The sequence below is a fragment of the Homo sapiens genome, chromosome 3 (assembly GCF_000001405.40).
Source record: "Homo sapiens chromosome 3, GRCh38.p14 Primary Assembly".
Lineage (NCBI taxonomy): Eukaryota > Metazoa > Chordata > Mammalia > Primates > Hominidae > Homo > Homo sapiens.
In genome coordinates, this window is record NC_000003.12 from 111171986 (window position 1) to 111191973 (window position 19988).

Sequence of the window (19988 nt, forward strand, 5' to 3'; positions counted from 1 at the left end):
AGATTCAACTAAAATGATATCTTAAAATAAAGAAATTGGATACTTTGTACTGTCACAACTCCTTTTTCTTATGGACACTTGCCATATTTTAAGACTTTTCTCCATGAGTTCTACAAGTAGATTTTTTAAGCCCTGTAATCTTAGTGCTTGTCGTTTTCCCTTGTATTTGTAGCAGCTGCTTCCTTTCATGATCCTCTTTCTTCCTTCTAACTTCCTCATTTTAGTGCCTCTCATCACCATCACTCCCCTACTTCCAGCTCCACATACACTCACGCATGTGCACACAAGCATACCCACACATCATATATTGTTCTGGGCACTTGTCACTTTGATGCATAAGGCTTAATGATACTATGTTAAGATATATATGAGGTGACATAAACATGTTTAGATCTTGGATGAGGAAGGATAGAAATAAAAATAATATCATTTCCATCTACTTTTACACATTTAAAGTGTCTAGAGTTGTCTTGGATTTTGTTTTACAGAACTTTGGATTAACTCAGATTCTTTATGTGCTCATTTTTTAAAAGCTTATATTTCTTCAAACCTTACTTAAATGTAAGATGGTATTGTGTTCAAAAATGATATTATTAATAGAAGGGAAGAAAAGGAAAGTGGGTCCTAAAGTTGAATTATTGAACATGCTAACAAATTAAACTTTCGTTCTTAATGGTGACATAATACTCATTATAGAATTCTCCACCCACAAATTGTTATCAGGTGAATATTTTTCCTATTGGCCTGTTTCCTTGATCTGCCATTTACCATGCATATTGGAGGCCTCAGTTTTCTATACACTTTATAGCACCTAGACTTATTTGTGAAATCCTGCACACGTTGTTCTAAGAACCTTTGTGTTCTACCCTATATTATCCAGTTTCCTCAGGTTTGAGCTAAACATGAGATTGCAGCAAATCATTCCAAGCTGCTTTGGATAAAAAGTGATAGAAGATTTTTTACAGCTTTTGAAGTCACTTATATCCGGTATGATCTTTCCATTTTTTCCTCCAAGCAACTTTCATACAAATGCCACATTCATTTAGAAACAGGGCTACAATCAAAAGTAAACAACTGTGCCTTTTTCTTTAATACACAGATGGTGCATATTCTCTTTGATGTGTTACCCTTTCTGGGTCTGTTAGGAAAACATGACTCCTATTCCAAGATCATGTCACTCCCCTTTAATACAAGATGCTTCATCTCTGTGAACAAGGAAGATCTATTTCTGAACCTGCATCTGCTCCACATCTTTACAAGACCAGTGATCTTTTCCTCCAGGTGATAACATTTAGCCCCTCCCATTTTCTTACATCTCATTATCAAGACATGAACAGCTTCCACCTCTTCTGGATCTTTTACCTGTAATCATACGTGATTTTTTCAGTCAAGATCCTCTGCAGGGGCTTATAAACTCTTACACATCTGTTTCAGTTCATGGCAGTCCTATACCTTCTGCTCCACCTCCCTGAACCTCACAATTGGTTCAATGTCTGTAATATGAGCTGCTCACTCACCACCCAGGGAATTTACAGTCTTTGTCCTCTCTTGAAGAACAATCACTTCTCCCTGTAGTCAGCCCCTGTAATACATTCCTTTCTTCAGTTGAGCTGGTATTCCTTTCTCCTTCTATTGTTGTTTTGAAAAATCTGTGTTCTGATTTCCTGGGTAGAATATGATCCTCCTCACTCTTAGACTCAGTGTATAGTAATAATCTCTTTTATTATCCACACGGCTATCCTTTCATAGACAAACAATATCCTTTTGTCTCACAAGCCTTTAGTAAAGTGTACAGCCTACATTTATTCTTATTCCTTCTCTTTTTTTTTGTACACCTGCAGCTTCTGCATACTTGATTACAGTCCATTGGTGTTTTTTGCATGGTTTTGTTTCCCCTTCTTCACTCCCTATTGTTGATAGTAAAATCCTGGATTCCCCTGGGCTTTGAGAACCTAGCTGTCATCATCATCATTATCATTATCGTCATCATCCAGATTAATGTTTCTCAAGTTCTGCTCTCACTGTATTGCTTTCACCTAGGATCTGGGTGGCTCTGTAGGCTTGGGACTCTCAGTCTAGCCCTATGTGATCTGACTCCACCATACCTAACCCAGTACTCCCAGTATGTTCAAGTGAGTTCTCCCATCCAACCAATAAAGTGTGAGTCCTCACTAATACTGGTTAACCTTTACCTCTTCACAGCTTATGTTGATTGCTCTAGCCTCTGAACCCCTGTCATTTCTGTAGTCTGTATTTTAAGTCTTCAGTATGTTATCTACAATTTCAAAAATCTCTAAGCAAATCAAGTTTTTCCTAACCCATTTTGCACTCAAATCTGAGCTGAACTACTGATTCTCACAGTGTTATTTATAATCATTTTTCTCACTTAATATGAACGTTCAATTTTCCACTGCGGATATATTGATGTGCTTGACCGTGGGGTTCTGTACCATATCCTGCAGGAGGTGCTTTATAAATATATGGAATATGTACCTATCACTTTTCTAAAATCAGAAAAATTCTGAATTCCAAAACACATCTGGTCCTAAGAGTTTCAGATGAGAGATTGTGGACTTGTAGTGATTTAGCCATTTAATAATATTAGGTCAGCAGGTAGTTACATGTCTACAGTGTGCTGGGTACTGAAACGGGAGGGTTCCTTGATCCCCCTTGCAGGACATACAGCAGGGTTGTGGCTTGCCTGTTCCATCGCCACTGCTGCTCAAACCACTGAGGTTTGGGGGGTGGGGGGTGGGGCGAGCATGCAGACAGACAGGTGCAAGAGCCCAGGTGTGCATGTGTTACAGTGTGCCCTTTTAGCCCTGCTGTCTGTAGACGGCTTGAGTGTTAACCAGCTCAGTGGACCCTCTGCCTTTCTGCAAGGGCAGAAGGCCAGTGTGACAACTTTCTGTATCCTGAGCTCTTGTCCAGTGTCCCGGTAGAATTGGGTCACACACGGACTCAGTGGATGAGTGTGGACTTGAAGGATGAATGCAGGATTTCAGTGAGTGGTGGAGGTGGCTCTCAGTGGGATGGATGGGGAGCTGGCAGCGGGGATGGAGTGGGAAGATGATCTTCCCCTGGAGCCTGGCCATCCAGCTGCCAAACTCCTCTTCCACCACCTCCAGCCAAACTCCTCTCAGTGTTCAAATGTTGCTCCTCTTCTCTATTTCTCTGTCACATTGTTCCGCCATCCATCTGCTTGTCCCCTCCTCTCCTTGCCTGCTGGTCAGCTTTTGGAGCCTGGGGTTTTGGTTTATATGGGTACAGGATAGTGGGCACGGTGGGCCAAAAGGCAACTTCTTGGGCATGAAAACAGGAATGTTGTCCCCATTTAGGGCCGCTGGTCTCCAGGCTTGAGGGTGGGACCTTTGCCAGGCAACCACCCTCTTCTACCCAGTGTCTTCTGTTTGTATCAGTACCATGGGAGATAAAGACAAGTAAAAGCATAGAAAGGCCTCCCACTTGTGTTCAAATTGCCTCGCTTTGTTGTTTAACTGTTTGAATGACAAGCCACATGAAACAAGATTATAAATTCCTGGAGGACAGGGCCCATACATTCTTTCACAAGTAGATATTACTTAGGATGAGATTATTTCAGAACATCAAATTATTAATTTTCAGTCCATTCACCTCTGTAGAGCTCAGTTCTCATAGACACAGAACCACAATTCTCATCAGATTTCAAACTAGATATTGCAAACATGATGACATTTCTCACTGTGTTTTAACTAACTTCCTGGGACCGAGGGAAGAGCTGCTTCTGCTTCAGTAACAGCCTCTGATGGCTCCCAAGGAGGTCTCCATAAGTATTACCAATTCCAGCCAGGGTCACCCAGAGGGTGGGGCCATCCAATTTGTTCAGGGAGTAGGTAAAATAATGTTTTTAACTGTTAAATGTTTTTTTGCATTGGTATTTTAAAAAATTTATTTCCTCTACTATTTTTCCAAAAGTCTACATTTAGTTATTTGTTACAGTGAAAATGTTCCTATCTTAACAGAGTGATTCCTTTCACTATCAGGTCAAGAAATGTCATCCTGCAATGACATTTACCAATTCCACACTAAGTAGATGGCCTGTTATTTGTAGTTATTAGCCTGTTTTAGGGGCCAGAAGAAAATACCCAAACTCTATTTGGCCATATGAATTACGTGTACATGAAGAGAAAATAGTTTTCACTGTTCTTGCCTCATGGAGTAGCATCTAAGTCAGTATCACTATGTAAAAATTAAATAGTGACACTGTAGGGTGCATTGAAAACAAGAAAAATCCTTGACTCATTTTATTAATCATGCAACCTACCTTCACTGGAAGGATTCTCCAGCTTTTGTATTATCTGCTTCACTTTCCTTTTAAAGTCACTGGTGCTGTGAACTTTCATTCTAATCACTGATGCTCTCTGGCTCTCCTAAACTCATAAACTGAGTTCTAGCTCAAGCTGCCTCTGTGCAGGTCACTTAAAACTTTAGTGTCTTTGTGGGGGGAAATGCCAAATTGAGACTACAGTTACTTCTCAATTCAAATAAAACTGCATTCTTTGGGTTTTATATTTAAAAAATTGGTGTTCCTGAAAGTTAATATTAACTTTCCATAGCAGACAGTTTCTCTTTGTATTTTACCTTCTTAACCATTATTAGGTTATTTTCCTTCAGAAGGAGAAACTATATATGTTACCTTTATTTTCTTTTTTTTTTCTTCTGGGAAAATGTTGAAAAATATCATTCAATTAAATTTAAGATCCCCCCAAAAATACATGTAAAAATATGTTCAAGAGATAACTTAGAAGGCTTCTAGAAAGTAACCATTAGGTAAATGGATAGAGACCCTTTTGTATTTCATTTTCTACATTTCTATTACACCCTCAGTAGGAAAAATAGATTGTTGGTAAGGGAAATTATTTCTGTATTGTCTCATCTTTCAATAGGAAGGAATATAAGGGAACTGGCATTCTTCACTTAGTATATAGCCTGTTGTTTTAGGAACTAAAATACATTCCGTATTGAAGATTTTAGGCGGCCTTTTCTGTTTTAATTTTTACTCTTATTTTTGCAAAGAATGGCATAAATTATTAACCACTTAGAAAATCTTAACAGAGTGTCTTTTTCTAGTTCTTTGAGTTAAGGGTCAACAGTTAGCTTTGAAATTACTTATGGTTATTTCAAAAAGACATAAAAATTAAGTTTTTAAAAAGAAGAACTGAGTTAATGTATGAAATAAGGTGGCATTTCTAAGGAGGCCCACATTTATCTATACCCTTACCTTTTTATTCATTTATTATTTAAAAATATTTATCTAATTTTTCTCTAATCGATATTTATTATACATGTAGATAAGGAAGACAGCAAGAAGGAACTTAGATGCTAGATTAAATATGAGATTTGGGAAGGCCCATATTAATGATCTCTAGAGAGGAATTCAATTTTGGTTCTTATTTTAGCATGTAAAATTTTGATCATTACAACATCTAGGCAGTACTGGAATGATTTTTGGCATAGCTTCTCTGAGAACACATCTTTTAAGATGTGTATTTTTTAAGATACTGTGTAGTATGATGATAGGTGATTTTCTCTACTTGATGGCTTTGTGACAATACTGTGCTTGATACAGAAAAGACAGCTACCATCTTTGAGGGTGTTCGGGTGTGTTGATGAAACTAAGGTTTACCTTATGGGAAAATTTGGAGATAAAATGGTATGAGTGGGTAAATAGGTACAGCATTAGGGCATCGCATTGAAAAGCAGAGATGCCCCTTGTGAAAATGACAGCATGGTTTTCTGGTGTTAAAATGTGTAGGCATTTATTAGTTATGGAAAACAGTGCATATGTGCATTTGTACCCCAGAAATGGTTAGGATTTATGATTAAGAGCATCTTGGAATTATATTTGGATATCATTTGCCTGCAAATAATTCATCACCTTTACCATCTATCTGCTTTAATTAGGTACTTTGCTTTGCATATGTATTAAAATTTAGGTAAAGTATCACTTTCTTGTGTATTTTAATATGAGAATTAAGCAAGACCATAAACCAAAATAAGAAATTTCATTAAAATGTGTCGTATCACATTTCGCTTTGAAAAATTAAAACCTAGAATGTATACTCAGTAGAAGTAATGAAATTTATTTACCAGTGATAACAAGAAACACTGCCTTCCTTTTGGTTAAGACAGCATTTTCAACAACTAAGCTGTTACAACTCTGTGGTTGACTTCAGAAAAATTCAGTGCTACCTTGTGGGATAAAATATCCAATATTCTATCTTGCAAATAAACCTCATGATAGCAGCCTGTATTTGAAAAGTTAGCCATGAGGACTTTCTTTCTGTAGTCATTTCTTCTTTAACTGACTCATTACAATCTATAATATTACAAATTAGGGGACTAGACATTGCATTTTGAGGTACTGCACTATATCACTCTGAGTATAAACAGACACTCAAAAAGAGAGGGGAAATACCCTCCTCATAAATTTTTAAGGCATTATCCTACAACAAATGACCACTGTATGTTCAGCCCTGGGCTGGGGCAGAATGGGAAACTCTCAGAGTCTCATTACTGCTTAAGAAAAGCCTTGCCTTTGTTTTCCTCTAATTGAGGCTGGAGCTCAAGCAGGAGGTGAAGTAACTTAGACTCGTACGGATGACGATAAACCAGAGCATGTGGCAAAGCTCGCCAGTCTTGAGCATCACTGGTCTTTCTCCTCACTTATATGCCATCTGCCCTCTCAAATGTTCATTGTCTTCCCACTTTTTAGCCCCTTTCTGCAAGCAGTTTAAGAGACTGGATATACTCAAGATGGGAAGTTTTATGTGATGGTTTAAGGCACAGACTTTGGAGTTACATAAAGATGAATTTGAATCTTAGCTCTACATACTTGGAACCATTGCTCAATCATTCTAGGCCTCAGTTTCTTCATCTGTGATATGGGGACAGTGATATTGCCTCAAGGGCATAGTGTAAGACTATGAGTATAACCAAAGCATCTTAAACAGTGCTTGTCTTACTATAAATCTTGGCTGTAATAAAACTTGGCTATATAGCTACCTGCTATATGGATAAGGCAGGTAGTAAGGGAAGAATCTTTTGTCAGTCCTTATAAGTTGTAATTGTAGTTTTACCTAAGCTAAGCCTAATGCTGTCTGTTTTAATCATGTTGCCATTATTGAGCCAACTTTCATGTTCTCTTGCCTTCTTTCTTAAATGCTAGAACCTCTCCTCCAGTCTATCTAAGTCCCAAGGATCTAGAACGTCTTTTCACAGCATTCACTCCCTTCCCATGAACCATCTCAGACCTATCCCTGCCCTGTTCTTTGCAAGTAGTAATTCAGACCTCAAGATTTCCAGTCCAGCTGGCACAGGTTTCTCAACAAAGCTAGCACCCAAGATATCTGTGGGGACCTCTGACTAAAAGTGGGAGTCAGTTTCTATGCAATGATAGCTTTTCAGTAAGTGTTTACTGAGCACCTACTCTGATAGCAGCATGTGTGGTTTGGGAGAAATCTGTCATTCTCTTAGTGGGTTAACAGGAAAGGATTTATGGGATGTAATACACAGACAGAAGACATTGGGACAGAGGAACTATAAGCAAATAAATCTCAAGTCTTGGGGAATAAGATCTAGGCAAACTGGCTGGGCGCGGTGGCTCACACCTGTAATCCCAGCACTTTGGGAGGCCGAGATGGGCAGATCACGAGGTCAGGAGATCGAGACCATCCTGGCTAACACGGTGAAACCCCGTCTCTACTAAAAATACAAAAAATTAGCTGAGTGTGGCGGCGGGACCTGTAGTCCAAGCTACTCGGAAGGCTGAGGCAGAAGAATGGTGTGAACCTGGGAGACAGCTTGCAGTGAGCCGAGGTCACACCACTGCACTCCAGCCTGGGTGACAGAGCAAGACTCTGTCTCAAAAAAAAAAAAAAAGATCCAGGCAGACTTTACACATTTAACTTGTATAATATGTGATGGCAGTCTGCACTGATCACAACTGATTGTAGATATTAGAGAACTAATAATTAACTTAAAAATTAACAGACAAAATTTCAAATTTAAAAGAAAAAAGTTGATTAATAATACAGCAACCCCATTGACATTCACAGAGAATACTTCATAGAATTTTGAGAAACCCTGCATTACTAAATACCCCTATCTTTTATAAAACTCATATATAAGAGTTGAGAATAAAAGACACCTTGAGAAATGGATATAGCTAAATGATTAGCCTCATATTGAAAACCTTCCAGGTCTTGATTCCAATTTATGTCTCAACAAAATTATAAATTACTACCTGTCATAAACCTTTTAAGCTTACTCATGAATGCTTGGAACCAGCAATGTTAAATCTGTGAATACTAAGGGTCTGCTAAAATAATGAGAGACATTCATATGACTAGCGTACGCATATGTGTAATTATCTTGGAGAACAGTAACAATTATGTATCTCATTAAACAACTGCCTAATTAACGTTGTTGTAAATTTTGCCTGATTAGTGTACAATCTTTATAGTTGCTGATCCTGAAACAAAGTCGACCTCTCTCATAACTATTTAAAAAAGTGAAAGAGAAATCAATCTTTGGTTCACAGTTTTAATAATATTATATTAATTCTTTTAGAGAGGTACTTAATAGATATGAGTGTAATATCCTATATGCCTTGAAGAATCCATATTTTGTGAATTATATGTGGTGGCCAGTTCTTTATGTGTTGCTCCTTTAGTGTGGAGAAATCATCTCTCTAGATTAGGAACTCAGTCATCCAAATAAGCAATTGGATACTTTTTAACGGAGAAACTTCTGCATCAGGGACAGTCTGTTGTAAAGTATTTATTAAGAATTTAATATGTACTTTTTTCGTAGCAGATTCCAGACTATGTCAATGACTTCTCAGTTTACTTAATCTCCCTACCCATGTTTCTCCAAAACGGAGTAATTATAATAAAATGACAAGTTAGAGTTTTTTTTAAAAAAACTTTATTGAGTTGGAGTTTACATAATACCATGCCATATTTTAAGTGTACATTTTCATAGCCTTGCCAAATATGTACATGGATGTAACCATTGCCCCAAGCAAGAACTTTTCCATCACCTGAAAAATTTCTCATGTATACCCTCCACCATCAGTATCACCACTACCACCACCATCATCCCACACTTCCTTTCTCTGGCAACCATTGTTGTGATTTCTGTCACAATATATTAGTTATGCCATTTTAAAAGAACCTCACATGAATGGAATCCCAGTGTGCTCTTTTGCGTCCAATTTCTTTTGCTCAGTATAATGTTTTTAAGATTCACCCATGTTATTGCATGAATAAACTTTGTTTTATTGCTGAGAAGTGTCCTATTTTATGAGTATACTATAATTTTTTATATTCATTCATCTGTTGAGGACCATTTTGGTTTAAAGTTTTGGGATGTTGTGAAGAAAAAAACCTTTTTCCTTTTTTTGTAATGTATTTTTCTGGTTTTAGTATCCAGATGATGTTAATCTCATAAAAGGAGTTTCAAAGTATTCTCTTTTTCTCCATTTGCTGAAATAATTTTTAAGAGCAGTGTTATTCCTTCTTTAAAATGTTTGGTAGAATTTACTAGTGAAATCATCTGGGCCTGGAGTTTCTTTGTGGAAGGATTTTAATTGTGCCTTTCAGTATATTTATTAGTTTCATCTAGGTTGTCAAAGTTAATTGGCATCAGATTTTTCATAATACACTTTTTTAACCTTTTAATTTATATGGGATCAGCAGTAATGTCACCTTTTTCATTTTGATATTGATTTGTGTTTTCTCTTTTTCTTGCTAGGGGTTTTCCCATTTTATTAATATTTTCAAAGAAACAGATTTTGATTTTATTAATTCTCTCCATTGTTTGTGTGTTTGTTTTGCTTGTTTATTGATTTTTCACTCTTTTTTTCTACTTCCTTTGGATTTAATTTGTTCTTTTTTCAGTTTCTTAAGCTTAGATCATTAATTTCAGTCCTTTCTTCTTTTCTAATACAAGCATTTAAAAATACAAAGTTTCCTTTGAGCACTTCTTTGTTTGAAATTATGCAAACTTTGGCTTTTTAAGATATCATTATTCAGTTAAATATTTTCTAGTTTATCTTTTATTTCTTTGCTTAATTAGTTATTTAGAAGTATATTTTACAAACATTTTGAAATTTTCAAATGTTTTAATTATTTATTTTTCGTTAATTTTTTTATGGTTAGAAAATATATCTGTTTCACTTCAATCTTTTAAGTATATTGAGACTTCTTTTAAAACCCAGAGTATAGTCTGTCTTAGTGAATGTTTTTATGTGTACTGAAACTAACGTATGTTACGCTGTTGTTGGATGTGGTGGTTTATAAATGTCACTTAGGTCAAGTTGGTTGATAGTGTTGTTCAAGTCTTATAAATATGTACTGATTTTCCTTTTTCATTTCTATAGTAACTAAGATGGGAATGTTATTTTCTACTACATTTGTGAATATATCCATTTCTCCTTTCAATTCTGTCGGTTATTCATATATTTTTGTAGTTCTCTTATTGGATATGTACACATGTAGGATTGTTATGTCTTCTTGATAAACTGATCCTTTTATCATTTATGAAAGATCCTTTTTGATTTCTGATAATTTTATTTGTCCTGAAGTTACTTTGTCTGATATTACTATAGCTACTCTGGTTTTCAAACTTTTTTTTTTATGATTTGTGTATAGTGTGTGTTTTTCCATCCCTTTGCTTTTAACCAATCTATGTCTTAACATATTTACAATAATTTTCATATTGGTCACATGTAGTTGGGTATTGCCTTGTTACCAATCTGAAAATCCTTACCTTAAATTGCTATGTTTATGTTTATTGCCACTTTTACTTAACTTATTTATTGCTGTGGTTCAGCTTAAGTCCATCATCTTGTTATTTGTCTTCTGTTTGTCCCATTGGATCTTTGTCCTTTTTTTCACTTTTCCTGCCTTCTTTTAAATTAGCTGAGTGATTAAGTATTTTTTAATTTAAATACATTTATTTAGTATTTAGCATACACATTTTTAACTTATCACTATCTACCTTAATATTACATAATACTACTTCATATATATTAGATGAATTTTAATATGCATTTCAATTTTTCCTTCTTTTCTCATCATCTTATGCATTTTATTTCTCCCTGCGTTATAAACCTGACAATACATTATTACTATTTTTGTTTTAAACCATAATGTATCTTTTTTTAAAACTACAAACTGATAAAGTTATGTTTGAAGTCCGTTTTCTTCAACCTGAATACCTTTTCCATAACATTTCTTATGTTACAGATCTACTGATAAAACAATTTTTTTCTCTATTTCACTATTTTTTTTTTTTTTTGAAACAAAGTTTCATTCTTGTTGCCCAGGCTGGAGTGCAATGGCTTGGTCTCAGTTCACTGCAACCTCTGCCTCCCAGGTTCAAGTGATTCTCCTGCCTTAGCCTCTCAAGTAGCTGGGGTTAGAGGCGCCCGCCACCACACCTGGCTAATTTTTTTGTATTTTTATTAGAGACAGGGTTTTACCATGTTGGCCAGGCTGGTCTCAAACTCCTGACCTGAAGTGATCTGCCCGCCTCAGCCTCCCAAAGTGCTGGGATTACAGGCGTGAGCCACAATGCCCAGCCTATTTTTGAATATTTTATGGGATATAGAATTCTAGTTTTTTTTTTCATTTAGCACTTTAAAATTATAGTTTTATTGTCTTCTGTACTCCTTTTTTTTCTAGTGAGAAGCCAGTGATAATGCTTTATTTCTCTGATTAAACTATGTCTTGTTTTTCCCTTTAGCTACATCTTTGATTTTCTCTTTATTGTTAGTTTTTAGCAATTAGATTTTGAAAGGTGTTAGAGTGGCTTTCTTTATGTTTACCATTTTGGGGGTTCACTGAGCTTCATAGTACTGTAGGTTTATATATTTCATAAAATTTGGAAAATTTTGGCAGTTCTTCAAATATTATAGTTTTCCCTTCCTTCTGTGATTCCAGTTATACAAATAGTAGATTTTTTGATATTATCTCACAGATTACTAAGACTATATTCAATTTTTTCAGCCTTTTTTCCCTCTGTTCTTTTGTATTGATAGATTCTGCCTTTAAGTACAGTGATTTTTTCTTCTTCAGTGTCTACTCTGCTACTAAGGCCATCCAGTGACTTTTTCCATTTCAGATATTGTATTTTTTTCTAGCTCTAAAGTTATTTTTGGTCTTTTTTATAGTTGTCAACTCTCATGTTGTGTTCATGTTTTCCTTTATAGCCTTAAACATATTTATAATAGCCATTTTAAAGTTTTTCTCTGCTAATTTCATCGTATGTCATGTTATGCTTTGAAAAGTCATATTGAAATTTAATTGCCATTGTAATACTGTTGATCTAATCACCTTCTACCTTCATTAATAGATTAATACCATTATCTTTGGAGTGGGTTAGTTATCTCGAGACTCCAGCCCCACTTTTCTCTCTGCGTTGTATGCTTGCCTGGCCTTCTGCTTTCCACGGTAGAATGATGTAACATGAAGGCCTTTGCCAGATGCTAGCACCTTGATATTGAACTTCCCAGCCTTCATGAGCCAAATAAACTTCTATTGTTTACAGATTACCCAGTCCGTGGTATTCTGTTATAGCAACACAAAACAGACTAAGACATGTTATTTCTGGTTTAGTTTCTATATACTTATTTTTTCCCACTTTTTTGTTCTATCATGGTCAGTACATTTTAATTGAATGCTGGACACTGTGAATGTTATGTTTTCAATTGTTTGAATTTTGTTCTTATTTCTTAATAAGAATTCAGTTATTTTCTGGAAGTCAGTTAATTTACTTCAAGATCAACCTGATCTTCTGGAACCTGATCTTCTGGAAGTTTGTTTTTAAGTTTTGTTAGGATGGTTATAGAGTAGCCTATCTTCTAGAGCTACTTTAGCCTTCTAAGGTGTGAACCTGGGTCTCTGCTGGATGTCTCACATGTTCAGTGAGGATTTTCTACTTCAGCTGGTTGGATCAATAAGTATCACTCAATTCTAATCAAGTTCTGGTAATTGTTAAGATAACAGCTCCCTAGCAAATTTTCTTTCTCCAACAGTTATTCTTTGCTCTGTGCATGCCCAGCCTAGTATGCTGCCCAGGGAACTCTCATGCAGATTTCTGGAGCTTTTTTTATGTGTGTCTTTGTCTTCTTCAGGACCCTGTTCCACAGATTTCAGTCACCTCAACTTTCCTAAATGCCGAACTCTGTCTCCCCAGTTCAGCAAGATCCTGTGCTCTTCTTGAATTTTTCTCTTCTTACGTCACCAGAAAAAAACAGAGTTATCAAAAGATAACACATGTGCGTGTGTGTGTGCGAGTGTGTGTGGATGGATATTTTGTGTATATGTATTTTTCCATGATCTGGGATCCCAGTCCTATACAACACAGTTGTTCAGTGTCTGAAAACTGTTGTTTTATATATTTTGTCCAATTTTTTATTAGTTTATGATAGGAAGGTTAGTCTGGTATTAGTTCTCCATCATGGCTGGAAAGCAGAAGTAAAAATGTATCACTTGTCAGTATAAGGAAGAAGCATTAGGGCAAGATATATCAATCAAATGAAACTTTTACAGTGCCTTGTGGAGTTATAAGCAGAAGAGAGGGAAAATGCCAACAGATAGATGCAGAGCACCTTGTAGAGAATAAACAAAAGGAAGAAGTAAGAAGGTCATGGAACAAAGACTCTGCAGAGAAAATGACTGGGTTTTCTATGATCCAGTAATTCCAGAAATCTCTTTGTTTAGGGTTGAATGAAAAATAATTTCAACAAGAATCCTAGGTATTAATCTCAAGTTCTGGTGGGTGGGTAAAGAAAAGAGACAATTCCCTGGTCAACAGTGGAATTGGGAGAATAGCAGAAGCACAAATAGAAGTGAACTAAAAAGGAAAGAGTAATTATAAAATGTTGTATTATAACTTGGATTCAGAGTTTCTTGACAGGCATAGGAGAGCAGTATATAGTAATTTGTTCCTTTTTTCTAAGGCACGAGACCAGAATCAAAGTAATTAAATAACATATTCATTATTTATACGTTCTTCATATACTCTGTACTCCATAAAAAAAACAGTGAGTGCACATTAAAATATTTAATTATGTCTAGTATGCGGTGAGTGGCAGTGGGAAATTACCCAAGGATGTGACAGGGAAGCTGGGAAACTGCTTGAATTGGGAAGGAATTAGAATTAGGAAAAACTATTTTAAAATTCATATGGAACCAAAAAAGAGTTTGAATAGCCAAGGCAATCATAAACAAAAAGAACAAAGCTAGAGGCATCATGTTAACCCAACTTCAAACTGTTATTACAAGGCTACAGTAACCAAAACAGCATAGTACTGGTACAAAAACAGATAATAGACCAATACGACAGAATGGAGAGCCCAAAAATAAAGCTGTACAGCTAACATCATCTGATCTTTGACAAAGTCAACAAAAAACAAGCAATGAGGAAAGGACTCTGTATTCAATAAATGATGCTAGGGTAAATGGCTAGCCATATACAGAAAATCGAAACTGGACCTCTTCCTTACACGTTATACAAAAAATCAACTCCTACCTATTGGATACTATGCCTATTACCTGGGTGATGAAATAATCTGTACATTAGATCCCCATGATACACAATTAACCTATGTAACAAACCTGCATATGTACCCCTGAACTTAAAATAAAAGTTAAAAACAAGCCTGAAAAAACTAGTATTAGCACTTTAGAAACTAGGGATGAAAGCCTCTGTGACTTTAGCAAATCAGGAGAGTGAATATGGATTATAACTCAATAGAAATTGCTATAATATAGTACATGTAAGTAGAGAAGTTGAAATACGTATTACAGATTTAGAGTAGCCCAAGGCTTTCTAGGAAAAGATACAAGAATAATATATGCTGTGTATCCATCAGTTAGAGTATTATAGTTTTATTCAGTACATATATATTAGTCACCAAACATATGTACAGTATTATTTAAGACACTTTTCAAATACAGATATTTTGTTAATTACTTTTTTAAAGAAATACCAAATCCTGTTGAGGACATGGAGCAGCTGAGACTCTCATTCATTACTGGTGGGAATACAAAATGGTATAGATGCTTTGGGAGACAGTTTGGCAGTTTCTTAAAAAACTAAGCATATACCTCACACCTGTAATCCCAACACTGTGGGAGGATCATTTGACACCAGGAATTTGAGACGAGCCTGGGAAATATAGCAATACCCTGTCTCTACAAAAAATAAATTGAAAAAATTAGCCAGGCATGGTGGTGTGTGCCTGTAGTCCCAGCTACTTGGGAGGCTGAGGGAGGAGGATCGCTTGAACTCAGGCGTTTGAGACTGCAGTGAACCATGATTGTACCACTACTCTCCAGCCTGGGTGACAGAGCAAGACTCCATCTTTACATAAAAACAACAATTAAGCATACTCTTACCGTATAACCTAGCAAATCACACTCCTTAATATTTACCCATATGATGTGAAAACTTATGTTCATACAAAACTTGCACATGAATGTTTATAGCAGCTCAATTCATAATTTCCAAAACTTGGAAGTAACCAATATGCAAATGAATAAATGAACTAATATATTCAGACAATGGAATATTATTTAGTGCTAAAAAGGAATAAACCATCAAGTCATGAAAAGACATGGGGTAACGTTAAATGCATATTACAGAGTGAAAGATCTGAAAAAGCTACATACTGAATGATTTCCACTATATGATACTGTGGAAAAGGCAAAACAATAGAGACTGGAAAAAGATAAATTATTGCTATAGGTTGGGTGGCTAGGGAGGATGGTGGAACACAGGAGATTTTCAGGCCAGTTAAATTATTCTGTGTGATACTACAAGAGTAGATCGTGTCATGATCCATTTGTTAAAATCCGTTTGTTACAACACCAAGAGTGAACTCTAATGTAAACTATAAACTTTAGGTGATGATGTGTGAGAAGGTGCATCACTGGTAACAAATGTGCCACTGTGGTGCAAGTATGTTCATAGTTGTGGAGGTTGTGGCATGGGGGCAGGGAATATGTGGGAATTATTTGTACTTTCCACTGAACTTTTCTGTGAACTTAAAACCACTAAAAAATAAAATTGATTAAATAAAAAGAGACGCTAGTTTATGCAACATTTCAGGTGGTCTGTGGATTGACAGAAAGAGCATGTACTCATCTGCCATTAGATTTAAGTTCCTTATGTATTGAGCCAATGTCACAAAATCTTGTCAGAGTTTATATAGCCACACAGTGCAGAAACAGATACATAATGCTTTCCATAGCCCAGTTCCCTAATGCAGGGCCTTTTCTAGGGTGTGTTGGGTCCTTGTCTGCATACACAATTTTACTAAATATTATATTACAAAAGTTACAGTGATTTAATGATGAAGATTCAGAATATGGGATAGAGAAAAGAAATTTACCCATTCACTTATTGTCCGATCAGTGCACATGAAGATTGTTTGTAGTGTCCAGGCACCATTTTTTCCTGTTCAGGTCTGAGAACTTTCTCTTCTTGTCCTTTACTGTCAAATTCACCACTTCTGGCTATTTAAAAAAGTCTTCTACCATGAGAAAAAGACAGCAATGTTGTTATTACTCATAAAGCTATGGCTCTTTAAAATCTGTTTGTATTGAAGCAGAGTAGACAGATTATTTATCTCTGTAGTTCCCAAATACTATTAACTTAATACTTGTTATATTGTTACTTATGACACTGCATTACTGACTTCCAGAGACTTGAAAGTTGTTACCACATTTAATAGGTGATGATCAAATACAGTTCTTAACCCAGGGTGTTCAGCAAAGTGTGAATGATCATTTATTTTCCGGTCATGTTAAATTTACCATTGGGAATTTTAAATATAAGCACAGAACAGCACATCTTCCAACCAAATCTTCCCTTGAACTCTTGAGGCCATAAACACTGTGTTCCTAGAATATGCTCCCTTTCAGTGTTGACTGTACCCCTGCTTTCCCCCACACTGCCACAAGGAATAGTCAAGGACTATGTTGTTACCAGAGGCTATGTTCAAGATTTCTTTTCCTTTTTTTTAACTTTTCAACATGATTGTACTACTGTTAAGGAATGGAAACAACCACCAGAAATCTTTGATTGCCCTCCATTTGGTAGCTACTGTTTACTTCTTGGAAGCCAAGGTTGCTTAGAACATCACTTAAATTGCCTTTTCCTTCTAGAAGTGTCAGACTTAGAAATTAAGTCACACTATTAGACATGAGGGACTGCTGAAGAAAATGGTATGAGCAGACTGTGGCATGTCTGTCAGAGGTTCCTTGATGCTGGTAAAAGAGGTAGTGGGTTATGATGGCTTCTACTGACTTGTCCTAAGAATCAACACAAATGTATTTAGGTTTTATTATTATAATAAAGGGAAACTTGAAGTGGGAGAAAATGAGATTGTAAATTGATTTTTTAAAGATATCCAGATACCACTTTAAAAAAAATGGATTAACTCTTCTCATGGCTTAGGAAATTCACACCCACCCCCTTTACAGAGAAGCTTCTGATTACACCACCTCTTGTCAAGTTAGATGCAGCAGTGAGTGATGTGAAATCATTTCTTAATTATCTGTATTAATGGATGGAGAATAATAAATGGCAAAGAAACAAATGAAAATGCTGATTTTAATATAAGGTATTTTTTCCCAAGTGTATTTTCCTTTGACCAGGACCAGCTACATAATTCCTGAGGCACAGTGCAAAATGAAAATGCTGGGCCCCATGTTCAAAAATTAAGGCTGTCAAGATGGCATTATTAGGTACCTAGATAGGGGGTGAATGAGAGTCTCATCTTCACTGGGACATGGCCTCCAGGCACCTGCCATATGCACCATGACTGTGGGCATGTGCTCCTAAACCAATGCCCAGGCATCTGCCTGGGCTGAGGACAGCAGCAGTCACTGGAGAGGGGACAGGGAGGGGGAGGCCAGGTAGGACCTGGGGCAGCAAGATGGGGTAGCAGTGGCCAAAAACCACACAGCAGGAGGCAGGGATGCCTGTGAGCCTAGCCTACAAGTCCCTGAAGCATGCTTTTTTGTCTCATTAGACCACTTACAACAGAAATTAACAGTGAAATTATTAAGAAATCTTAGATGGCAACTGCAAAGTATTAAAAGCATTAAACCCCAGGGGCCCTGTGTGATTGGCCATACATCCGTGACTGCCCCTGCCTTGGACTTTTACCAGTGTGTACTGTTAATATCACCTGATCATGTGGGAAGCACTGTAGAATTATGCTGACTTTGACAGGAGGAGTGAACATGTCACATAATTTATAATGTAGATAACCTTGACATATGACATCAAGAATTGATGATAGTTTAGATTCTAATAAATTCATTAGTGAACTATTTTTATTGCACAAACCCACATTAAGGTAGAGGGATGGAGGAGGATGACTATGTTAGTCTGTTCAGGCTTCTGTAACAAAACACCGTAAACTAGGTAGCTAACAAACAACAGAAATGTATTTCTTATACTTCTAGAGGCTGGGAAGTCCAAGATGAAGGTATCAGCAGATTTAGTGTCTGGCGAGGGCCTTATTCCTAATAGATGGCTGTCTTCTCACTATAACTTCATAAGAAGGAAGGGAAGAGCTCTGATCTCTTCAATCCCTTATAAGGGCACTAATCCCATTTATGACAGCTCCACTCTTATACCCTATTCGCTTCCCAAAGGCCCCACCTTTTAGTACTAACACATTGCAATTAGGTTTCAACATATGAATTTTGGGAGTACACAAACATTCAGACCATTAGCAATGGCTAAGTAAGGCTCACTACTTACTGGAGTTGAAAGTTACATTAGGGACTATAAAACAAGACAGTCATGATGTGTGCTATAATAGAGATAAAAACAAGAACAATAGGAAAACTAGGAGTAAAGAGATTAACTTTGACAGGCAATGTTGACAAGCCTTGTGAAAAAAAGAATGACTTTAGTCAGGCCATGTTGGATAAGTAGAATTTCTACTCCCAGAGATTTGTCCTTCCAAACCAAAAGGGACAGTATGAGCAAAGATAGTGAAATGCAGAGCTTGTTGATAGATAATGCCTGCATGTGGAGACATTCAGGCATTATTTTATTATATTGACTGAACATCTATTTTCCAGACACTAAAATGAAAGCAGGGATGTGAAAATACAGAATTTGGAATTAGACAAAGCCACATTTGAATCACTATTTACCACTTACCAGTTGTGTGACTGGAGACAACTTGCATAACTAAGCCTCAGTTTTAGTCATCTGTAAAATAAAGATATTAGTTTTGTTGAAGTATTATACGTATAAAGATTAGGTGAGATAATGTTTGTGAAACACTTCAACCAGCACTCTCAGTCTGGATAAGGAGAAAAGCAAGTAGACTTATAAATGTGATAATAAATGCTATGAAGGCACAGAAAAGGGTGGCCATCTCTGCTCGAGGGTGTTGTGCAAGGCTTCATGAAAGAGGTGATATTTGAACTGAAGTCTGAAGGGTAAGTCATGTGTTTGTAAGCCGAGGAAAACTGAAAAAAATTCTTCTTAGGGTGAAGTTTGAAAATGAACTCCCTTTGTAATCTGTGTGGGGGGAGGGTGGGGATAAGGATGGAAGATTAGCAAGCAAGAAAAGGATGATCATATGGCCTTTAAATCTATGTATAAAGACAAAAAATAATGTCTCATTACCACCCCAAACCACTTTTACCTGATTCAAAATATCAGACTCTTCTGAGAAGACAGAAGACCTTCTGTGGTGAGCTCACCCTCATGTAAGATGTAAACAAGTTTGCATGAGAACTTCTGCAGCAGATGTTGTCTATATTTTCTTTCCTTTTTGAAACCGAATCTTGGTTGCTCTGTAGCCCAGGCTAGAGTACAGTGGTACAATCATGGCTCACTGTGACCTCTGCTTCCCCAATTCAAACAATTCTCCTGTCTCAGCCTCCCAAATAGCTGGGATTACA

The 19988-nt window shown here is 36.5% G+C and overlaps 1 protein-coding gene across 3 annotated transcripts in view; it reads left to right on the top strand.

Annotated features, from left to right (window-relative positions):
* The window catches only part of NECTIN3 (nectin cell adhesion molecule 3), a 122355-nt gene that overhangs the window by 100170 nt on the left and 2197 nt on the right, over window positions 1–19988 (top strand). The gene's annotated exons all lie outside the window — the stretch shown is intronic.